Here is a 21,247-nt window from a genome sequence, read left to right as displayed (position 1 = left end):
TGACTGGTGCACTGTGTAAACTCAGGTACTTGGACCTCGTTTGAGTAAGCAAGTAATGGATGAATGAAAAAGCCACATGGATCATCAATGAGTACATTTTAATTTATGTAGTAGTTATTATAAATGTTTTGGGAATTCTATAAAAGAATTTTTATTTTCCATCAATCAGATACGCAAAAAACCTTGAAAAAAAATATTTAAGACCCAGCTGGAATCTAAGAGGGGCTCTGAGACAATTTTCCAAAGCAGATACAGTGACTTAGCATAGGTATTTTTTAGTTGCATCACCTACAGGTTGAGAAGACATTGACAAGCTATGGAGTGAAATTCACCGGTTACTCTGTTTCCATTGCTGAGAAAGCTTAGTGACACTTTCTCTACAATGTCTTTATTCTCCAGCTTGCTTAAATTCTCTAGTGCGACTGAGTGTGATGTGAAAGCAATTGATGGGTCTTTGCTGATTTCTTCGAGATGTATTAGGCAGCAGTATTAACTCATTGCAAAGTATTCCTCTTTTCCAGTTTTCTTTTCCATTTCCTGATCTGCAGAGTTTCCAAATTCTTAATCCAAGTCCTCAAGAGACTAGGACCTTGACATACCTAAATGTCTAGAACCACATTAAAAAAATAAATAAATAAAAGGAAACAGGTAAAATTAGTCTTAACAGAAATCTAGGCAGGTCAAAATCCTAATCTCTTTAGAACTTGCATTAAGAATTTGAAATTTTGCAGATCAGGAAATGAATGCAGAACATTTGTATTAGTGAGTTTATTTTCAACAGATTTTAAACCTTGAGTGCAAGATTCTGCCACGTGTTCATATTTTATGCTACACTCTCTATCTTAAAGGCAAATTTATAGCACAGTACATTTGACATATCACTTATGCTGTCTCAAATACATCTTCAGAGATAAACATTACAAATGAGTTTCATAAAATGACGCACTTTGCTTCCCAGAGGGGATATTGCTCAGGAGGATAGGTTCCTATGTGTGAGATTAAGTTACAGGAAGTTTTCAGGATCCTCGTCTTTTAGGCTGTGGAAGATAGGGAAGAAGTAGAAGTGATATTTAATGGTAAAGGAAAACTTACCACATTTTAGTCCTTGTCAAAGAAGGATATCAGATTTAAGCAACCAAGCAAACATTTCCCCTCGTAAACCAGTTTAATACCTAGAAAGTGAGGGACTGGAAATCACACAGGCTGTTCTGCCCCTCTAGGTGTATTCAGGTTTTTGTTGCAAATCAGGATGCTTTGTTAAATTCACCTAATGTATCGGACGGGATTGAGCCAAGCACTGCTTTAGTGCTGTTGGTATCACAGTGAACAAAATGGATGTCTGCATGAAGCTTATGCTCTGGTGAGGGAAACAGACTATAATACACTCAAACAATGTGCAACTGCATTTCAAAGTAATTAAGTGCTATGGAGAAAGTGACAGAATCTGCTGTTTTACAGAGGATAGTGAAGGAAGTTCTCTAAGAGGAGGAGACATTCAGGCAGAGACCGGAATGAAGTGAGGGAGCAAGAGTGTTCCAGGCAGAGCGAGGAGCCAGTGCAAAGGCCTCGAGGTGGGAGCCTGCAGGCAGGGCAGCAATGTGGTGAATCGGGGAGGGGAGCGTAGGAGATGATATTGGAGAGGTAGCCAGGAGCCAGATCATGCAGGCTGTACTGTAGAGCCTTGCCTGGCTTTTGACTTTTTTTCTGAGAACGATAGAAAACCATTGGAACTTTTACACTTTAATTTCATCTTAACCTTTTTTTGGGTGAATGTCTTTGGCAGTCTGGCAAAACCTGTGGAACCCTTTGCAGAATAATGTTTTTAAATGCATAAAATCCAGTGGATGTCAAAGAGACCATTTATATGGAAATATATAGACTAAGGCCCCCTGTAAGAGTCACTTATGCTCTGATTTACATTTTCAAAGGATTGCTTTGACTGTTATAAGTAGAATAGACTGTAGGAGCCATGAATGGAAGGCCTAAGACCAGTGAGATGGTGGGGCTGAGAGCAAAGCTATTTTTATTTATCCTACAGGGCAGTGGCCAGAAGTAGGGTTGTGCAACACAGTCTTTTTGAAGGCAAGAAGAAATATGTATGACTTCTATTTATATTTAATTTATTCTCATTTTTAATTGGTCTATTGAATATATATTTTATAATATCCTAATAGAACATTAGTACATCTGTATGGTTCATGAATAAGCCTACATATATCATAGATGCATGCTCAAAAAGTATTTATGGCAGTGTTTTTTGATCAGTCAATTCTGATGATCACGATATAGGGAGAGTGACCCTGTAAGAAACTAACAAAATGCCACACTGGTTTAGACCACATTTCATTTCAGATGAATTTTGTGGGAGAACGCGAGTTCTTGACGTGATTTAACCTCTCTAAATGTCAGTCCTGTTTCTCAAGCACCCTTACCTCTCCTTACGAGCCCTCATCTGGCTATAAGTCTGTTTTCACCTCATGAGACTTACTCTCACTTCTGAGGTGGCATATACTACTCCCCCAGGGAAACAAGTATCCTAGGGTTGTTGCCAGACAGAGAAAGTGGTTCTTGATATTCACCCTGACATTTAGGAGGTCCTGAGGGTGTCCTCTGCCTCCAGCATTGTGAGCTGTGGGGGCACAGCCTCACTGCCTCACCCACCCTCTGGGTGGTGTCCTTGCCTTCACTCACATGCCCTTCCTGGACTGGAGTCCTGGGTTTTTAAGTCTCTCTTCCATCTACCTGTCTCACATAGACCACTCTTGAGCATTTTTGTTCACTCTAGAGGTGCAGTGAGCTGAACAGTGTGCATCATTCCAAGTGCGATACAGCATAGTGTTGTGCAAGGCCATGACAGTTTCTGTTTTATACCCAGGAGAAGTATCTGGAGTGGAGGAAGGAGAGAAGGGAAAGTGAAAGAAGGGAGAGTGAAAGAGAAGAGCTGATTTTGCATGAAACCTGCTCTGGTACCACTGACGTGCAGTTTTCCTCTCTCTCATAAAGAAAGCCTTTCTTTTTTTCTTTTATAAAGAAAGAAATTCAGCCTTTGATGAAATGAGCAGAAATCTTCAGGTAGGCTTTTAAGGATGAAAACAAATGTATCATGGCTACAGATATGTCCACCCTCCAAGATCAAGCTGTGGCTGTTGGTGTTTAGGGAGATGCAGTCTTGGCCATGCTGAAAATACTGACAGAAGAATTTCCCTGACCTGCCTTTCCAGTAGGAATTGGTTTATAGAGGTGGGTATAGAACCTGGAAACAAGGCCAGTCTAACTCCACAATTCCTGTGCCCTAAATATAAAGTCATATTCCCAATTCTTTATATATATTTTTTCTGCTTCTCTGATTTCTGAGTTCTGCCTTCAGGCACTGCTCCTTCATTGGGCATTCTTGATTATTTTAAATTTTTTATTAGTATTTGCAGGAATGGCAACTTGTCAGTAAACTAGCCAGATGGTGGAAAAATAGCTTGATAAATCACTATAATAGTAACATGGCTAAAATATCAGGGCACAAAGGAGCCTGTCCTCAGTATTATTCTGAGTAGTGTTTGCCGCAAGCAGGAAACAATGTCAGGTGATAAGATTCAGAGCTAAGTCAAGCTATCTGCAGTTTCTCAATAGTGGACACAGCCACGAGGACACTGAAATAGCTCCTGGGTTGGAGAGTTGGTTTGTACTGGGAAGTAACTAAGAGTCTTATCATTTTCTGGAAAAGAACTATATCCTTGATATTATTTGTCAAAATGAAACTAGTTAAAGGAATTCAGCAAGGGGAAAAGCAAACAGTTTGAAATGGGAAAAAATATCCAAAGACGTCCACTTCAGTCTTCTTCATTTTATCTGCCCTTCCTGTGTCCTTCAGAATGTGGTTGCCTGTGATAGACAAGTCAGTTCGATTTTGGGATTGATTCTGGGAACTAGATGTCTCTGCTTGTTGCTGTAGAATTTCATGGAATTTCCTAGGTGCCTCATTGCATTGGAAGTGTGTTTGGTCCCCAAGGTTCCAGGAACCTCCAGTTTTAACTACATTCGAAGGCCTTCATGGGTGGAGGGCGTTTTGAATTTCCAAAGTCTTAGGTGCCTCATTCTCCTTTTTTTGTTTGTGCCAGATTTCCCCTTGAGATAACAGAGCCTAGTGGGTGATCAGCAGCATTAAATACATGATGCTAACATGTCTCTCCTGCAGGGTGCTGGGATCTCTTACTTCCCTTTGTGTGTCCTACTCATTCAGAGCAGTCCTAAAGAACACTCCCTGTTTTGGATTCATTCTCCATCAATATGCTGAGAAAATACTTAAAAGACTCTCTGTTTCTAATATTTCAGATACCCAGCATGTCTGTAGACTTGGCTTTCTGGAGCCATGAGCTCTGAAGGATTTTATTGACAGCGATTTCAGGGCCTGTCTTCCTAGTAACCTCTGTGAACACAGGCAGAGGAAAGGGAGTTGAGACAGGAACTGAATACTGACTGCATGCAAGGCTGAACAAACGTTTCTTACGCACAACTGATTGAAACCTCACTATAAACATGGATTTATTAATAAGCTCACCCTCGTTTAACAGACAAATACACTGAGTTCTAGAGTCTGGAATGAACGCAGCAAGATCCCAAGTAGGCTGACTCCAAAGGTTATGTGGCACCTCCACTTGGCTACCTTTTCTTCAGCCAGCACATCTTTTCTAAACTTTTGGCTTAAAGGAGCCAGAAGGTGAACTTTTAACACTGCTCAGTGATTCATCCTCTTTTTTTCCTGGTTTCCAAAACTGAATGGGTTTCCTCCTGTGCCTCCAGCCCTCCTTCATGTCCTCTTGGTTCCCTTTAAAAGAAATGCCCGTGTTTCTCGTTCCCCTTCTCTGTGGGTCTTACAGAGCAGTGGCTCACTAGGGCACCAATTTAATGAAATAAAATTTTCAAGCATGTTTGGTTTGATTCTAGGTGATACAAATAAAGAATTGTGAATGCTTTGTAGTCAGGTTTAAAGGGAAGGGGAAAGGTGGAAAGAAGAAAGTAGGTCAAGTATAGTACCTGGGTAATGTCTCCTTCAGGGCTGCCTAGTAAAGATTTAGCTTTTAAAACTGGGGAAATAATGGGATGCCATAGTACTTTGGCACCTAGGTATCCTGAAACTTTGAGTTTGGCGGTTTTTAATGTTTATTAGTTATGTGACTCTTACATATGCCAGGCATTGTTCTAATTAATATATAATATGCATGTGTATTGATTTATCTTCTCTAAACCCTTTGAGGTACCTATTATTATTATCTCTAAGAAAACAGAGACACACAGAGGTTTGTTAACCTGCCCAAGGTCAGACAATTAAGGACAGAACTAGAAGCTGATCCCAAGAAGTTTGGCTTCAAAGCTCTTAACCACATACTAACCTGCCTCTCAGTGACGGGGCTCAGTAACTCAGCTTCATGATTTCACAGGTTTCCAAAGATTATTTTTCTTTTTAATTAGAACCAGTCCACCATACAGTTGGAAGGGTAAATATTTGTCATGTTTGGTGACAGACATGATGAGTTAAAAAAAAGGTCTAAGGCAAAGTCATGTACTTGCTCTTACATATCCTTCCATCTGTATTTACTGTGTGAAAAGGTCACTTGAGCACAAGTGTTTGAATTTCATGCTTATAAGCAGCTTCCCTGTGGCTAAAACCTTGCTCTCCAAATTGATTTTGAAAATATTTTACAATAATGTATATTATTCTCTAATAAGAACACTCTGCAGTTGTTAAGCTATGAGCTTCCTAACTCAGACTTTTGTGATAGTATTTTCCATAAATGCCAGGGATTGTCAAGTGATTTTTGTTTTACTCTGAAATTGTAGACCTTTCTCCTCATTGTCCATCCATCACATTTACTGGAAGGAACGGTGGCTCTGGGAGACCTAAGCTGTTTGCTTTGTCAGTCAGCTACCTGGCTGCAGCTTGTGGTAGGAGGGAAGGGGAGGGAGAAGACTAAAAAGCCTGAAATGGCAAATGAGTGTAGGTTCTGGAGAAAAATAGAATTAGAAGCATTTGTGGTTCAGATGAAAATAGCACATTTCCTTTCTGCCTGGACTGTGGGGGTGAAAGTGCTCCGGGGAATCGAAAATAAATAAAAATTGATCCTTCACCAGTCAGAGGAAATGCTCTGACTCTGGGAACTAAAATGACAGCTCCAGATTTGAGGATCTGGTGAAACCACTTTTGAAGGTTAACAAAAAAGAAAACAAAAAACAAAACACCAGGAGATTTGGAAAAAAAACCCAAAAGACAGTGGTATACTATGTTAGGAAATCTAGTCTTTCAGGAATGAGTTAAACAGCCCTTTCCCAAGCCTGACCAGCAGGCAGCACAGGCTGGTTGGGTGTAATCCCTTTTGTTCCTGCTGCTGACCACGGTCCTTCCATCTCTTCTTGCAGGTGAGAAGCCTTATAAGTGCTCATGGGAGGGATGTGAGTGGCGTTTTGCACGAAGCGATGAGCTCACGAGGCACTACAGGAAACACACAGGTGCAAAGCCCTTCAAATGCAACCACTGCGACAGGTAAAGAGAAGTAGAAGTTGATGGGCTAGGGAGGAGAGATGGGGAAGTGGGTTGGAGGGTGAGCAGCACCCGTGTGCTTGGACTTATCACAGGTCTGACTCACAGACACTTGGACCTGGGAATGCCTTTTCTCCATGGAGAGGACCAGTGAGAAGAGGGGGTGCCCTCTTGCATGAAATCAAGAGGTGGTGTGAATTCTTGGTTCAGTTACACAAGCATTTACAGAACACTAGCTTTGAGCCAGAAATGGTGTTAATCACTCGGTATCAACAAGATGTGACAGATAACTTTAGTATAATATGAAAAGTAGTGAGACAGAGAATGGTCATCTGTAGGGACTTCTGATCTTTGTATCAATGTCAGTACCACTTTCCCTCATCTATAGTAATAAGAAAGAGTAGAAAGCTTGCTTAATGGAAGGAAGGTTAGGGTTCCTATCACTATAAGGCTTTTCTCTGAACCCATTATTGGAAATGAATTGTACTGAACAGAGTTCCCATTCTTTGGGGGCCCAGATCATTCTTTCTTCCTTGAAAATAGGTACAAGGGTGCAAAAAATGACAAGGTTTTGAGAACTCCTCCTGTAATTCAATTTTAAGCCTTCTGCATTCAATAGTAGAAGAAAGAGCACGTAGCAACAGATACTACCCAAGTAATAGTATCTGACAGCCCTGGCATTATCAACCAATAAACCCCAAAATGGAGACTCTGCAGGCCAAGGTGAAGGCAGGATTAGGTTTAGACATAATCAAATAATGGGCTTGCATCTGAGCGTGTTATCCTTCTAATCCTATTTCTGTGTTTAAAAGGAAGCTTAAGAAAATTAACCATCTTTTTAATGCAATACTAAAGGTCTCGGTTATGATGAGAAAAATGCTTCTAATACGATAAAAGCCCCTGAAAGCCTCAGGGTTCCCCAGCTTGCAGGATGGCAGCAGGGGCCTGGCTTTTCTTGGGAGGAAATGGGATCGCTTTTGCATCCTGTCTCCCCCAGTCCCTGTGTCCCACACCTCCCCCTCACCAGGGCTTCCTCTGTAGTAGTGTTTGGTGAATAGGGAAGGGGTGTCCAGACTGGTCACGTTGGCTTAGTGCTCCCTTAGGATGCTTATAAAGGAGCAGTTATGTTTTTCTTCCTTTTTTTTTCCTTCTTCCTGGGAAGCTATTTTCCTCTTATCTTCATTCTCTAAGTACTAAATAAAGACCCCATGCGTCCTGGAGCCCAGAGATAACCTCCCACTCCAGGGCTGAGGAAGTGTACTTTATGCAGTTATTGTCTCCCATTCCCTTGGAACTCTGTTCTGCTACCCAAGAATACAAGTTATTATTACATTTCCATCCATTACCTAGAAGTCCTCCTGTATTTACATGAATCAGCAGCTGTCTTCTACAGAGTATGCTCCAGGAGAGTTTCTCCTTATTCCCCATCTTCCTTCTATTTCCATCTCAAGTTTCTCTGCTTTGTGCCTCTCTCACTCTGGCTAATAAAGAAGCCCTGCAGATGGTGACTCTCTGTCCATAGTCTTTTGAAGGAGAGTGTTCTGTTACATCAACTGGGACCAAGGTGAATTCTTTGTGAGTGGTCAGAGTGTGATGGTAGCGTGTACACACAAGTTGCCCAGCTCTGAAGGGTGTGGAGGCTGTTACTTGGAGATTGTGAGCATTATGGGTAGCCGTAATTATTGGATGTGGACAAAGAGTTCTTATGGGGAAATTGCCAAAGTTAGTATTCCACTCTTCAAATCAACTGACTTATTGATTTACAACCTTCCAGCAGTTGATGTATTTGGATTTAATCTGGTCTTTTGTATGATTTACGTGGAGAAATGTTCCAAACCGATTGGTTATTTCACTGAAAGAGATGTCAGAGATGGGTGATTTGGTTAGTCTTTTGCTTTGTTTTCTTCTTTAAAATACACTACAGTTTCTGGAGCTAGAAATTTGCTGAGCAGATGGTACAAATTCTGCAACATGGTATTTGTGGGAGATTGAGTAGATCAGCGTCCCGCGACACAGGCCAATAGTGCATTTTCGACAGCATCATAAATGAGAGTTTGTATTCCCATTAGTGTCTCATGACAGGCAGCACCTTGGCGTTTCAATTACGGTGACTGTGCTAAGAATAGCCAGGCCTGGGAGGCAACATGGGGAACTGGAGTGGTCCCAAAGCAGATGAAAGGAAAGCCTGGAGTGACCGGGAGTTGGCATTCCTTAGAAGATGTTTACCTTCAGAAACAGAGGGCATCTGTAGCCCTTGGCAGGACATGGCATCCTGTTGGTACCGCAGTATATATGAGTGCACCACCTCTTGTCTCTTAAAATTTGAACAATTACACTGCCCTATTTAGAAGTTAAGTAGGGTTTAGACTTCCTTTCCTTAAGCATGTACCAAGTCTAACGTATGCTTTTATTTTGCCTATAGGGTAGTTTTAAAAAATTCATGACGTTTTTGGTTTGGTTTTTTTTTTTTTTTTGGCCAACATTTAAAATCGTTAAATGTCACACAAAAAAGTTTGTATTTCTGGCTTTGTCTGGAAAAATCAGATCTGGCCACAGTGGGCTCACATTCCCATGTGGCTGTAATTGGATGTAGCTGAAGAGCAATCATTACCCATTTGCCATAGCCATGTGATGACTATGTTTCCACTGTTCCCATCACTCCCTGTGGCTCCACAACTCAAAGGCAAGCCATTGGTTGCCAAGTATTGTCCCGCTTTCTGTTGTTTCTTCTTACAAGAAGAGCTATACTTCTTTGTATCCATGCCTTATCGGAAGTGGAAACAGATAGCCCAAGAGTGCTGTGTTTCTTACACTTGACCCACGGCACATACTTTATCTGCCTGGCCTTGCAGACACTGGGTTTTGTGACTTCTGGCTTCATGTTTGGGTTAGGAAAGAAAGCACAGTAGTAGTGCCATTTCTTCACCATCTGACTGGACAGTGCAGCCCCCCTGAGTGACCAGTGGCTAGAGGGATAAGTGGTTTTTCAACCCACAGAGTTGGAGGCTGCTGATGGTGGTAGATAGGGCTCAGTTTCCATCAGTGGTAACATGCAGGCCCTCATTCTACCGACTGACTCAGTGCAGTTATAATCCAGGGAGACAGCTACTAGCATAGTACATTCCAGTTCTTGGGCAGTTTAGAGGGTGCATTTTGATCTTTATGTCAGCCCACTTATAAGTGGTAAGAAATACCAGCCCGTATCTTAGCCTCTTGGTCACCTAGGAGATTGCTGTTGACTTAATCCCTATGTGACGTTAGTGTGCCTTTTTTTTTTTTTTTTTTTTTTTTTTTTTCATTTGAGACAGTCTGGCTTTGTTGCCCAGGCTGGAGTGCAGTGGTGCGATCTCGGCTCACTGCAACCTCTGCCTCCGGGGTTCAGGCGATTCTCCTGCCTCAGCCTCCTAAGAAGCTGGGATTACAGGTACCTGCCACCATGCCTGGCTAATTTTGTAGTTTTAGTAAAGACAGAGTTTTGCCATGTTGGTCAGGCTGGTCTTGAACTCCTGACCTCAAGTGATCCACCCACCTCAGCCTCCCAAAGTGCTGGGATTACAGGCGCGAGCCACGACGCCTGGCCTAGTGTGCCTTTTTCATAAACGAGAGAAATGACTGTGGGGTTGACTAGTTCTCCATTATGTACAAATTTCAGTAATTAAGGACCTTCTTATTTAAGGTCACCTGGCTGCTGTAAAGTTATAAATACCCTCTAGGGGTATATTACTCTTAAAATTATTTGATTCTGCACTTCTAGATGCCAAGTTTATCTATTACCTTTTACTATTCCTATGTGGAATTCAGTAAGTATAAATTAATAAGTATAAGTTAATCATGACTAAGTACCTTGCTGGGGTATTGAATTTAAATAAAAACCTCAATAGTAAGGGACCTGGTCTAATCCTGAGCATCATACATTTTTTTTTTGGAATTTGAACAAATAATGATGCTCATTTGATTCAGTAGGGGTGCAGTTACATTTCCTACCATGTTAAAGGTTTGGTTTACTTTTTTCCACTTTTTTTTCCCTGAATTTGAAGGATAAAGGGAGATGCTTATACATATATTGCTAAATACCCAGTAATTGGTAAAGGCAGATATAAAGCCGAACACATATATTACTGAATGGTTCTTTCAAATAAAGTTCTGTATCAAGAATACTCATTTCCCGAGAGTTCCCAGGATATAGAAAGGAAAGGAAAGGGGTTTCCCACTGCCAGGCCCTCTCTTCACTCCTTACCATCTCAAATCCCAGCATTCCTCTTGGACAGGCAGGCTTCTGGGTGTCTGCGTTGTTGCTTCTCACAGGTACATCCTCCTCAGGCCTGACCAGCCTAACCTCAGGATTAATTTTCTAGTTGCTGCCTTGACCACTTGCCACAAATTTAGTATCATGTTTATATACTTTTCAAGTTTATGGTCTTACAGTTCTGTAGGTTAGAAACTTCTAGGTTAGAAGTCCAACACAAGTCTCACTGGGCTAAACTCAAGGTTTTGGCAGAGCTGCATTTTTGTTCTGGAGGCTCTAGGGGAATATCCATTTCCTTTCCTTTTCCAGCTTCTAGAAGCTGCCCACATTCCTTGGCTCATGATGCTATTCCTCCATCATTAAAGCTGTTGAGTCCTTCTCATGCTGACATCTCTCTGGTTCTATCAATTCCTTCTCCCACTTTTAAGAACCGTTGTGATGGCATTGAGCCCAACCAGACAATCCAGAATAATCTCCCTGTTTAATGTCAGCTGATTCATAAGTTAATTCCATCCACAACTTTAATTCTTTATCATGTAACCAAACATAGTCCTAGTGTCTGGGCATGAAGTGTAGACATTTTGGAGGGAGCATTATTCTGCCTACCAGAAGCTCCTTAAATTGACAGCCCAGTTCTCTCTTCTCCTCAATGTGGTTAAGCAGATGTGACTAAGAGTGTGGGCTCTGGCGTCAGACTGCCTGTGTTCAAATCCTCTTTCTGATGAATGTTTCATCTGGTAGTGGGAATAAGAATGGTACCTTCTTTATAGGGATCTTATAAGGATGTTACATTTAAAAAAGAAATACCTACAAACAGAATGTCCCAACTTGGATCTTCTTTCTCCAGGTTGTTGGGATAAAAGAAGGAGGGAAAGAGAGAAAAAGAAGGAAGAAAGAAGGCAGGGAGAAAGAGAGGGAGAGAGGGAAAGAGAACAGGCAGTGGGCAATACTGAGTTGTACCCTCAGGACATGAATTATGCCAGTTAGACGCTAAATTCCCTGCGGGCTGTATTGATTTTTCTGTGTACCAGTGACATGGAGTACTAGTTTTTAAAGAAAACTTAGTGACACTGTTTTATTGCAAACCAAACCCCCTTTAGAGGCATCGCTAAGGGATTATCTAAATATCTTCCTCATACAAAGTCAGGGCTGGAAGTAAGTGGGTATAATTGGAATTGTTATTATGCAGCATGTTATTGGATTAGATTGTTTTCAGTTGTACTTTTCGCATTTTTATGTGGTTTTCGTTTTACTCTTGTCCCATTTCACTTCATTCCCTTGGAGTTCTATCCTACACATGTGCCTATTTAAGGAATGGACACAAACAGGGGGTGTGGAGAATGTTGCGGTCAAGGGAAAGGGTGGATATTTTTTGTTTGTTTTAAGAATGAACAAACATAGGGAAATCCTGCCCTGAACAGGAAACCCTGCTAACCTGAACAGTGTAGCTTGCTAACATTCTGACAGGAGTTTTGGACTGTAGGGGTGTCTCAGGCTTCAGGGAGCCTGGGAACTTTCTCATAGGTTAGAAAGCAGCTAGTTTCAGGCGAATGATCCAGGGGGAGAGCATACACTCAGAGCTCAGAATGACTGCTGTCATGTAGGCTGACTTCACTGGGATTTCATTCAGAACCTGAGATTGAAGCCTGCAGGGATTTGGAAACACCCATACTGTCAGGTTTCTGTATGTTATAGACTGCAGTTAGCCTCCAAGGGTATTTATGCGCTCAGGTAACTAAGAAGAACAGAATTAGATTTGTCTTTAGGCTTCGTTGGATCCAGCTTCTCTGATATTATCATCTGGACTCTTTCTATCCCCCAGAACCCCTTTTTCTCTGTTGACTTCATTCTCCAGCCAACTCTTTACCACAAGGGCAGTATAGACACCAGTCACTCCAGGATCCCAGTGGAAAGAGAGCTTCTCTCTTCCAATAATTTCAGCAGATGTCCCAGGGCTGGTTCTCATTGGCCTTTACAGGTCACATGGCTGTTGTTTAGCAGAGTACTGTGGCCACAACTTCAGCCTCACACAAATGAGAATGCAGAAGGGTTGGTACCCAAGAGAATATCAAATAGCTGGTGTTAGAGGAAAGAGGAAAGAAGATGACCACTGGATCCACTCTGACATGAAGAAGGCACTCAGTTATGGGCCTTAGGTTCCAAGAAACACCTTAGCCTCAGTTTCCTTCACCCCCCTCCTTTCTGCCCCCAACACACACACACACAAAGCGTGAGAATACTTACCATGGAGGGTTGGTGAGGATGGCGTGATATTGGGAAAACCCTTAGCATAGTGCCTACATATCGTAACATACTCAATAACTGTGAGCACCCTTCTTCATCCTTTTTTTTTTTTTTTTTTGACTTGAATATAGAGTGTCTGATAAGCCTGTAAGTAGTATCACAAGCAGTATTTCTAGGCTTTCATTGTAAAGTTTAGGGTTGAAATCTGGGTGTTGAAATTTCAAAGTTCCACCCTTTGATGATATAGACTAATTATTCTTTATTATATTTACAGTATGCAGGCATGACACAGGTTTCAAAAGCACTTTCCCATTCTTCTTTAATAATCACAATTATGATCATAACAGTTAACATGCACTGAGATCCTACGATGTGCCAGTCCGTATTCTAAGTACCTTGCATAGATCATCTCATTTAATCCTCACAACCCACCTATGAGGTAAATGCTATAATTATCCCCACTCTACTGAGGAGGAATTAAAGTACAGACAGGTTAATGTGCTCCGAGTCACACAGCTATTGGAAGAGATAGGATTTAAACCCAAACATTTTGTCCCTTAAACTTACCTTCCCAACACATGGCCCTGTTTCTCAATGCATGTGCACTGTCTCTGTTTAAAGTAAGGGAAATCATTTCCTAAGGAGTGATGCAAGTCAAGCTGTTTGCTGGGAGTTCTCTAATATCCTTGTTGTTTATATCTCCTAGGTGTTTTTCCAGGTCTGACCATCTTGCCCTCCACATGAAGAGACATATCTAAAAAACCGAAAGGCCAGAGTTGCCATGGCATCGGCTAGTGTCTAAAGGAAACGCCATGAGGCAGGGGGCTGGACTTCAGGCGGGGACCCATTGCCTCGCAGAAGAAAGTTCTCACTTATAAACCTCTGTACACACACACACACACACACACATATACACACACTCACAGACCCACACACATACACACTGTCATGCACTCAACTATATTTAAAATATATACGTCTATTCTTTATGCCTTGCCCTAGCCAGATGGAAGAAGATGAAGAAGGAAACCAGGTGAACTCAGCAAGGCAGACTGGCTGCTTACTTCAGCACTATTGGAATTATTTCCCGCTGTTGCCAATGGAAATCAAAGAAAATGGATGTGACGTCTGTGCAGGTGGACGGCAGTCCGAGGGGCTTATTTCACTTGCTTCTCAGTGCAACTTGATAGGAGAATCCAGCATCTTAAAGTTGCATATGTGTAGCACTAATGTTTCTTTTTAAATAGTTGGGGGAAAATGACCTAGAAAACCAAATTGCAGTTTGGTAGCCAAAATTAACTCTTGGTTTATTTGTCCTTTGTGTGTGAAAAGTCCTACTATTCCGTGCGTCAGACTTCCTCACAGAACTGTTGACTGGTTTTGGTTCTTAGTACTATTGAGATCTTTCGCGTCGATCCCAACGGCCTTAGCGGCGGCAGACTGGAATAACACCTTACACCTTTCTGGCCTGCATTTCTGTAGACTTCACTCTCAAGGGAGGAGTTTTCTTTTCTTACGTTTTGACTTTTGCACACCATATGCACTAGGGATTCTGGAAACTTCTAGCATGACTGCAAAGTGGCCAAGAGAATAAAGTCCTTGATGATAAATCACAGTATATCCCTTGAGCCTCACCTTATTGCCAGTGCTAGATTTTTTCTTTTTAATCTCTCCGTTTTTGCTAACGAAAACTTGAAAAGCTTATTTGGAAGCTTAAATGTTTTATCTTTTCTCCATGGACTAAACCTCTCCAGGACTCTCTCGGCACCTGGATGTCCAGCTCTCGAAGCAGCCAGTCAGATGGGACATCACAGTTCTCTCATCCTCCTTGAGGCATGATGACCTCAGCTCATAGTGATCAACCGTTGTGCTGTGTGTCATTGCTACCCCATAACCAGTTACAGCATAGATGTCGCTAGTCTCAGAGGGCAGCTGCGTATTTAATTTAACTCTGGTTTATGACCTGACAAAAAGCCAAAAATATCACTCTTTCCAGGAGTGGGGAAAACTGAGGATGCCTCCCAAGTCTAGTGGCTTCACAAAAGATCATCCTGTCTTCTCTGTCATGCCCACTGAGCTCCTATTCCCCTACGTGTTACAATACACAATTTAAAACGCCATTGTGGGAGTGAAGGGTTGACATTTAAGGAAAAGGTTGAGGTGTTTCTCTCATGGGCTGTCTAAAAGGAGAGACACGTTTCTTTCTTTCCTTTTTTTTTTGGCTAGGCCCACCATGACTTGTGACCTAGAACCCCCAGGATTAACAGAGGCCTCACATTTACTCTGCAAGCTGACTCCAAAGGAGTCTACAGTCCTTACTTGTCATGCCACACTCACACATCCAGTAGTGGTCTCTATCTACCCGCATTCCTAGCTAGCTGGCACTGGCCTCAACTCCAAAGACTGCCTTTAGGACCATCAAATGGCCTATGCAAGCAAGCGGGGTGGTTATTAGGACAGATTGTATATTTTGTATATTCTGGGACCATCCCTTCAAGACACGTCTATAAAACAAAAATGGCGCTTGGTCCACACACGGTTGCTGCTCCCTCCTACCAGCTGGCTCCCCTCCTGTCCTCCTTTGACTGTTTGACTCATTGACTGTTAAAATGCCACCCCATACATATTTGGGATGCAAAACTGAAGTCAAAAGGAAATAATATAAGAAACACAAACACATATATGACAGCAACCTTCAAGATCTGGGTTTTCAGCTTTCTGCAACCTTTGTTTTCACTGAAATGTTGAAACTACTCGTCTGAGGGCAAAGGAACCTCCTCACAAATGCTATAGCTGCCAATTGGACACTTGGGGCATTTCGAGGTCTGGCCCTAAGAATTTACTTTCTCCTTTTCCTTTTTTCTATTTAGACCAAAAAAAACAAAAACAAAAACAAAAAAAAAAACAAAATAATACAAAACGAAAAAAAAAGAAAGAACACCCGTTAACACACACGCGCACACACACACAAAATCTGTCCATTTGCCGGAGGCAATTGTATGTATGTTAGTTGGAGGGTATTAAAAATCAGTTTTATTCCAAAGATTTAAAACTAGACATGACTTAAAAACAATTTCTGGAGCACTGCTTGCTGACAATCTCGTAGTTCTCTGCTGCATTTGAGTGCATTTTGTGGCCAGTCCATCAGGGCGTACCATGGGATTATATTTGAATGTGTGGTGCATCCTTCCTGGATGAAGGATGTGTGAGGGACCTTGAACCTCAGCTGTATTAAACTGTAGCGCCTCCAGTCAGTGCACTAGATGAAACTTTTAGACACCCTGAATTCTGTTGGTTCCTTTCTTTTCCTTTATGTAGCAGCCTCCAGCATGAATGCACGCACACGCCAGTGATGGCATTAAGCCATGGCCACCACGATTTGCAAATGTTCTCTCCCAAGCTGGAGCTGCTCTTGCCTCTCGAATGCTATTATTAAGGGTTTATAATACTTAATTTAATTTTCGAACTGACCAATGCAAGGCTCTATTAAAAAGAAAGTTTAAAAAATGCAAAAGAGTAATCATTGCTTGTTTGCTCCCTATTTTCATCTGTGGTCTCATTTGAATGTGGCAGAACAAAGGCCCTTTGGTCCTCATCAGTGTCTGAAATGTTCAGTAATTTCTCTCTCTTTTGTATCAGTGAGGTCCTTTGTAATCTGCTCCTGACCTTTCTTGGAGCAGGGTGCATTGAAACTCAATGGTGGTGCTTGCTTGCTTCAGAGTCATTTGTTGACTGTGAGAATTGGCCTAAGAATTTGGTGGGTGCTAAGTGGATGGCTTTGAAACTGTTCTTCTTTAGCCGAGTTGACACCTGTGAATGATGACCAGTCCTGATCATTTTGGAAATGGATTTGTAATAAAACGTCCATCACCTCTGCAGTGGCAGAGATGGTTACTAAGAGCCGCTAGAGCGAGCAGGTTTTCCAAGAAGTAACCTGAAGACATTTTGCTCCCAAGAGGACTGGTTATTTAAAACAGTGCATTAATGGACATTTGAAACACATTAAACCCCTTTCTCATTTCAGTTGTTACCTCCTAACCCTCCAGGGGATCCCAAATTTGAAAGGAAAAACCCGGCCTGGTGTTTCTGGTGGTGTCCTAACAAGCACGCTTTTATCCAGGGTTCAGATTTGTTCATGTAGAAAAAGAGTTTCTAAGCCACTGACAATTTTTTTTTTTTGTAATTTCAAATTATACTTCTTTCTCCTGCCACATGACTGTAAGTCATAGACATGGAAACCTGAAATTATAATGCTGCTCCTAGCTACTGGCCTCCTGCCCCACCCATGGTTAATGGCTCAGCTCAATGCCTGGTGGTAATGAGTATTATGTCCAGAAAAAGAGATGTTCAGATTCCATGACAAAGCTGCATTTTTGTAAAAATATTGGAGACCCCAAAATGAACTTCATGCTGACCATTTCCTCCTCTCTGTGTGCTTTCCCTTGCAAAGCCCTTCAAATATCCTCTTCTCTCGACGCCATCTCCTCTCCACCTGCACCTCTTGTGCCCTTTGTACATCTTTGATTGCCTGATGATAACAGGGTAAAAGGACAGCCAACCTCATGCCTGATTAGCAGAACTGAATCCTAGTTTTAAAAAATCTTCTCTGGCTTCAGAGAAGATTTTATAAGGACTTTTGTTTGGGATAAGCTTTCCAGATTATCCATGTCTATTTGCATCAAAGGGGAAAGAAATGGGGCTTTTGGATGGCTCTTCCAGTGCATTCGGAACATTGCCTCTTGCCTTTATTCCTGCATTTTATGGCAAAGCCAAAAGAAACTCAAGTTGCAAGAACAAAACCCAGTGACTCGTTTTGATGGTTCAAAATGGTTTCCTTTATGGAAGTCACTTCATAAAATGTTAAGTAAAAAGTGGGAAGTGCTTCTGTCTTCTCTTTTGCATGAGTTGCTTTTAGGAGCAGGAAGAAGGTAGGCAAAGTAAGATAAAGATGCAACACATTTAACTACAAAAATCAGGTTCATTTTTTAGTTTATTAGAATTTTTTTGAAATCTTAAGAGGGCCAGCATTTCTGGCTACAATTTTGCACCCAGAACATTGCCAAAATGAACATTCAGTAAATAGAACCTGATTGAAATTTACTCCTGGAAGCTTTCCTTTGCATTTTCGGGAAGTGGCCACCTGCCAAGCGCAAGAGTTGGGGGGCAGGAGGGGAGGACTCAAATTCAGGGTGTCTGGATTAAATTTCGGTGAACATGGTGATATCTCAGTTTGAAAACTAGAGGGCCTATCCTGAGTATACATCAATGTCTCTTTGATGGCCTACTTTCCTCAGTGAGGATCTTTGGGAATACTTGAGATGGAACAACAGAAATGTGTGAAAGGAAGCAGAAACTTCTTGTAAATAACGTGACCTCCCACGACGAACTGCCTGAGGCTTCAGGGTTTTTTCTTGCTTTTAACACTCTTAAATCTCCTCTGTTGGTTCCTAATAGATCCCAGAAAAGGGAAAAATAAAGCTGCAGTTAACTTTCTTATGTGCATCCTTCCAATAGAGTACTGTATTTTTCAGGTGTTTTGCATTTAACATAAAAGTCCTCGGGAAACAGGTGTCAAAAACAGAGAGAGAAATCCTGGGCCATCACTTCACAAATATCCCAAACAAGATATTCTTTTCAAACAGGGCTCCCTCTCAGTGGTCATGAGGGAAGGTTGATAATGTTCTTTGTTGGGGACTGTTTATACAATTTTTTTTCAACTGTGAGCTTTGGAATCGTAACTTGCTGTGAGTCCAGCTTCTGTCTACTGCCATAAGATGGACCCCACGTCAGCATAATGAGGGTGGTATATATGCTCGCACCTAGACATGCGCATATGTACCTGTCGTACCTTCACGGAAGGAAAACAGGCTACTGACGTTTCGGAGGAGTAGCCACCAGTGCCTAATATCTTTTGGGGGGGATGGATGCTTATAATTGCCAGTATATCGAAACCACACTGGGAGTTCCACATAGCGGGGAGGGGTTGGGGGTGGGCAGAGGGGACATTTTAAACCTAGGCCTTTGGACTGGAGGCAGAACGATTTCTGCAAACCTAGGTCCTGAAGGCTTTGGGGCTTATTGGCTGGTTCTCAACCTTTTTGTTTTTTCTTCCCAGCATGCATTTCCTATCTAAACCCAGACTTAGTTTAATTTCCTTATCTTTCACTTCTGCTTCATTCCAGGGAGGAAAAATACACCTGTTAATGGCCAAGATCTCCTTGCTAACACAGAGGCAAAAATAAATGTCTAATGTTTTTGAAGCCTCCCCTTCCTTTCCACAAGCCCCCACCCGCCCCCGCGTCAAGCTCCTTCTCCCACTTCCTACTCCCACACAACTTCCCAGCCACTGAAACTTTTCTTTCAAATCTCTATTATCCTCTTAACAGTTGCTTGAATAAATTTATTTTTGCACTATACATTTTCTTTTTGCCAGATGTGTCTAACAAGTGTGTTTGGAGAGACCTACTCCCAGCCCCGTCTCCTTCCCCGCCTCCCCCCGTCACATTCTCTCAGGCCTTCTCTGGTATTTATAATATATCACAGAAGTACCCAGTCTTATAGCCCTCGGTTATGCCTTTTTTTGACATTTTATTTTTTTTAAGCTTTTTATATATATATATATATAAATATATTACTTTGTCAAGTTTTTTTGCTGTACAAAAGTCTTAAGATTTAAAACTATTATTTGTATTATATGATGGTGGTATGTTAATGTTACAAAATTATTAATGAAGAAAAAATTTATTTTTGTTACTGGTCTGTTTCATAATTCTTTTTTAAATTGGTATATTGTAAGATATCTATGCAAAAAATGTTATGTGACGCATTTTTATTTAAGAATGTAATATGTGTAATAAACAGTAGAATGTGTTTGGCCTTGGAATACTTTACTGTATTTCTCCTTAGCTTGTTTCACTGGGGAAAAAAATCTTCGAAAGACGCAAGTGGGTACTTACATACTTCGTGAAAGTTTTCTTTCTTGGAGAAAGGGAAAGCAAAAGGTTGTATTAGGTTATCTTCGTTTGGGAAGTTGTGTGTGTGTGTGCGTATGTGTGTATTTTATAGTTTCATTGAGGCAGCTCAATGCCCAAATAAGGGTCACTGAGTTTATTTCTTCAAGGGGAAAAAGGGAGCCAATTGTTGGAGATTATGAAAAGCAATATTTTAGAATGATAGAGATTACAAGATGTTATTTGTTTAGGGGGTTGGGAGAGGCTTATTGAAAGCGGTTTATTTGGCGAGAGAAGGAGGCAGTTTGTTCTGGGATGGTGTTTAATAGGAACCTATTGGGAAAGGATCTTTGAAGCAGTCTGTGAAGGAGGAAGGGTAAAGATCAGAGGGAATAATTTAGGTGAGGGGTAGGGGGCAGTAAAATGACAGGAGGTGGTTGGAGTGGGGAGGAAATGGGTAACCGGAAGCCAGGAAATCCAGCTGGCTGTGGAGAGTACAAAAAACTAGATGGAAATACAAGCAGCTTCAGACCCAGAGAAGAGAGGGAGATGAAAGCCCCAGGGAAAATTCTCAGAACTGAAAAGAAAAGTACTAAAATCTCTGCCACACACGACTTCCAGGAAAGAGCATCACCAGTAAGGAGGAAGGTAGAGAACCCAGCTGGTGGTGTCGCCTCAGCATCCCGAGCTCAGCGATTCCCCGAGAGAAGTGGTGTCATTCACAGGAAACAGCAGTAAAACACATTTGTCACATGGGACACAGCAGTAGTCAAGCTTTCTTTGCATTCTTTGGACTTACAGAAGTGGATACGGTGGTGAATAACCTCTATCCCTAATCAAATGAATCTGACAAGAAACTTTCCAATAAATGTTTACTTTAGAAACCGTGGCTAGTGTGACTGAATTTGCTGCATGGACACAGACATTTCTCATGTCCCTGAACAGGAAACAGGTGTCAGGAGTGTAACAGCGGGTTTGGAAGGGAAGCTGAGTGATCAAGTTCTTGCTCTCATAAAACTCAAGGTGAAGAGAACAGTAGGTGCTGCAGGGGCCGGGAAAATGGTTTTGAAGTGTTAAGCATCAGCTGCCACATCTCCCGAACAGGCAAGTGAGCTGGGCAACACGGCAGCTCAAAGCTGACTGAGAAGAAACCACATGTGTAGTGGGGAAAACACAGCCCCTGGAGTCTGAAGACCTGCCTCCTACTCCCTGTGTCTTCAGTAGCTCTGGGACTAGATGAGTAATTTCATTCTGATAACCAAAATCATTTACCTGGAA

At 41.7% G+C, this 21,247-nt stretch overlaps 1 protein-coding gene across 13 annotated transcripts in view; it reads left to right on the top strand.

Moving 5' to 3' along the window:
- The window catches only part of KLF7 (KLF transcription factor 7), a 99,715-nt gene extending 78,862 nt beyond the window's left edge, over nt 1–20,853 (top strand). For all 13 annotated transcript variants that reach the window (NR_073108.2, XM_047446149.1, NM_001270943.2 and 10 more), the window contains 2 exons: nt 6,409–6,532; nt 13,726–20,853. Coding sequence is in view for 12 of the 13 variants with exons in the window: in XM_047446149.1 (XP_047302105.1) it covers nt 6,409–6,532; nt 13,726–13,777 (176 nt within the window). In the remaining variant the exon portion in view is untranslated. The remainder of the gene's footprint in view (nt 1–6,408; nt 6,533–13,725) is intronic.

Source organism: Homo sapiens, chromosome 2 (genome assembly GCF_000001405.40).
Source record: "Homo sapiens chromosome 2, GRCh38.p14 Primary Assembly".
NCBI classification, from domain to species: Eukaryota; Metazoa; Chordata; class Mammalia; order Primates; family Hominidae; genus Homo; species Homo sapiens.
This window is presented reverse-complemented; position numbering and strand designations above follow the sequence as displayed.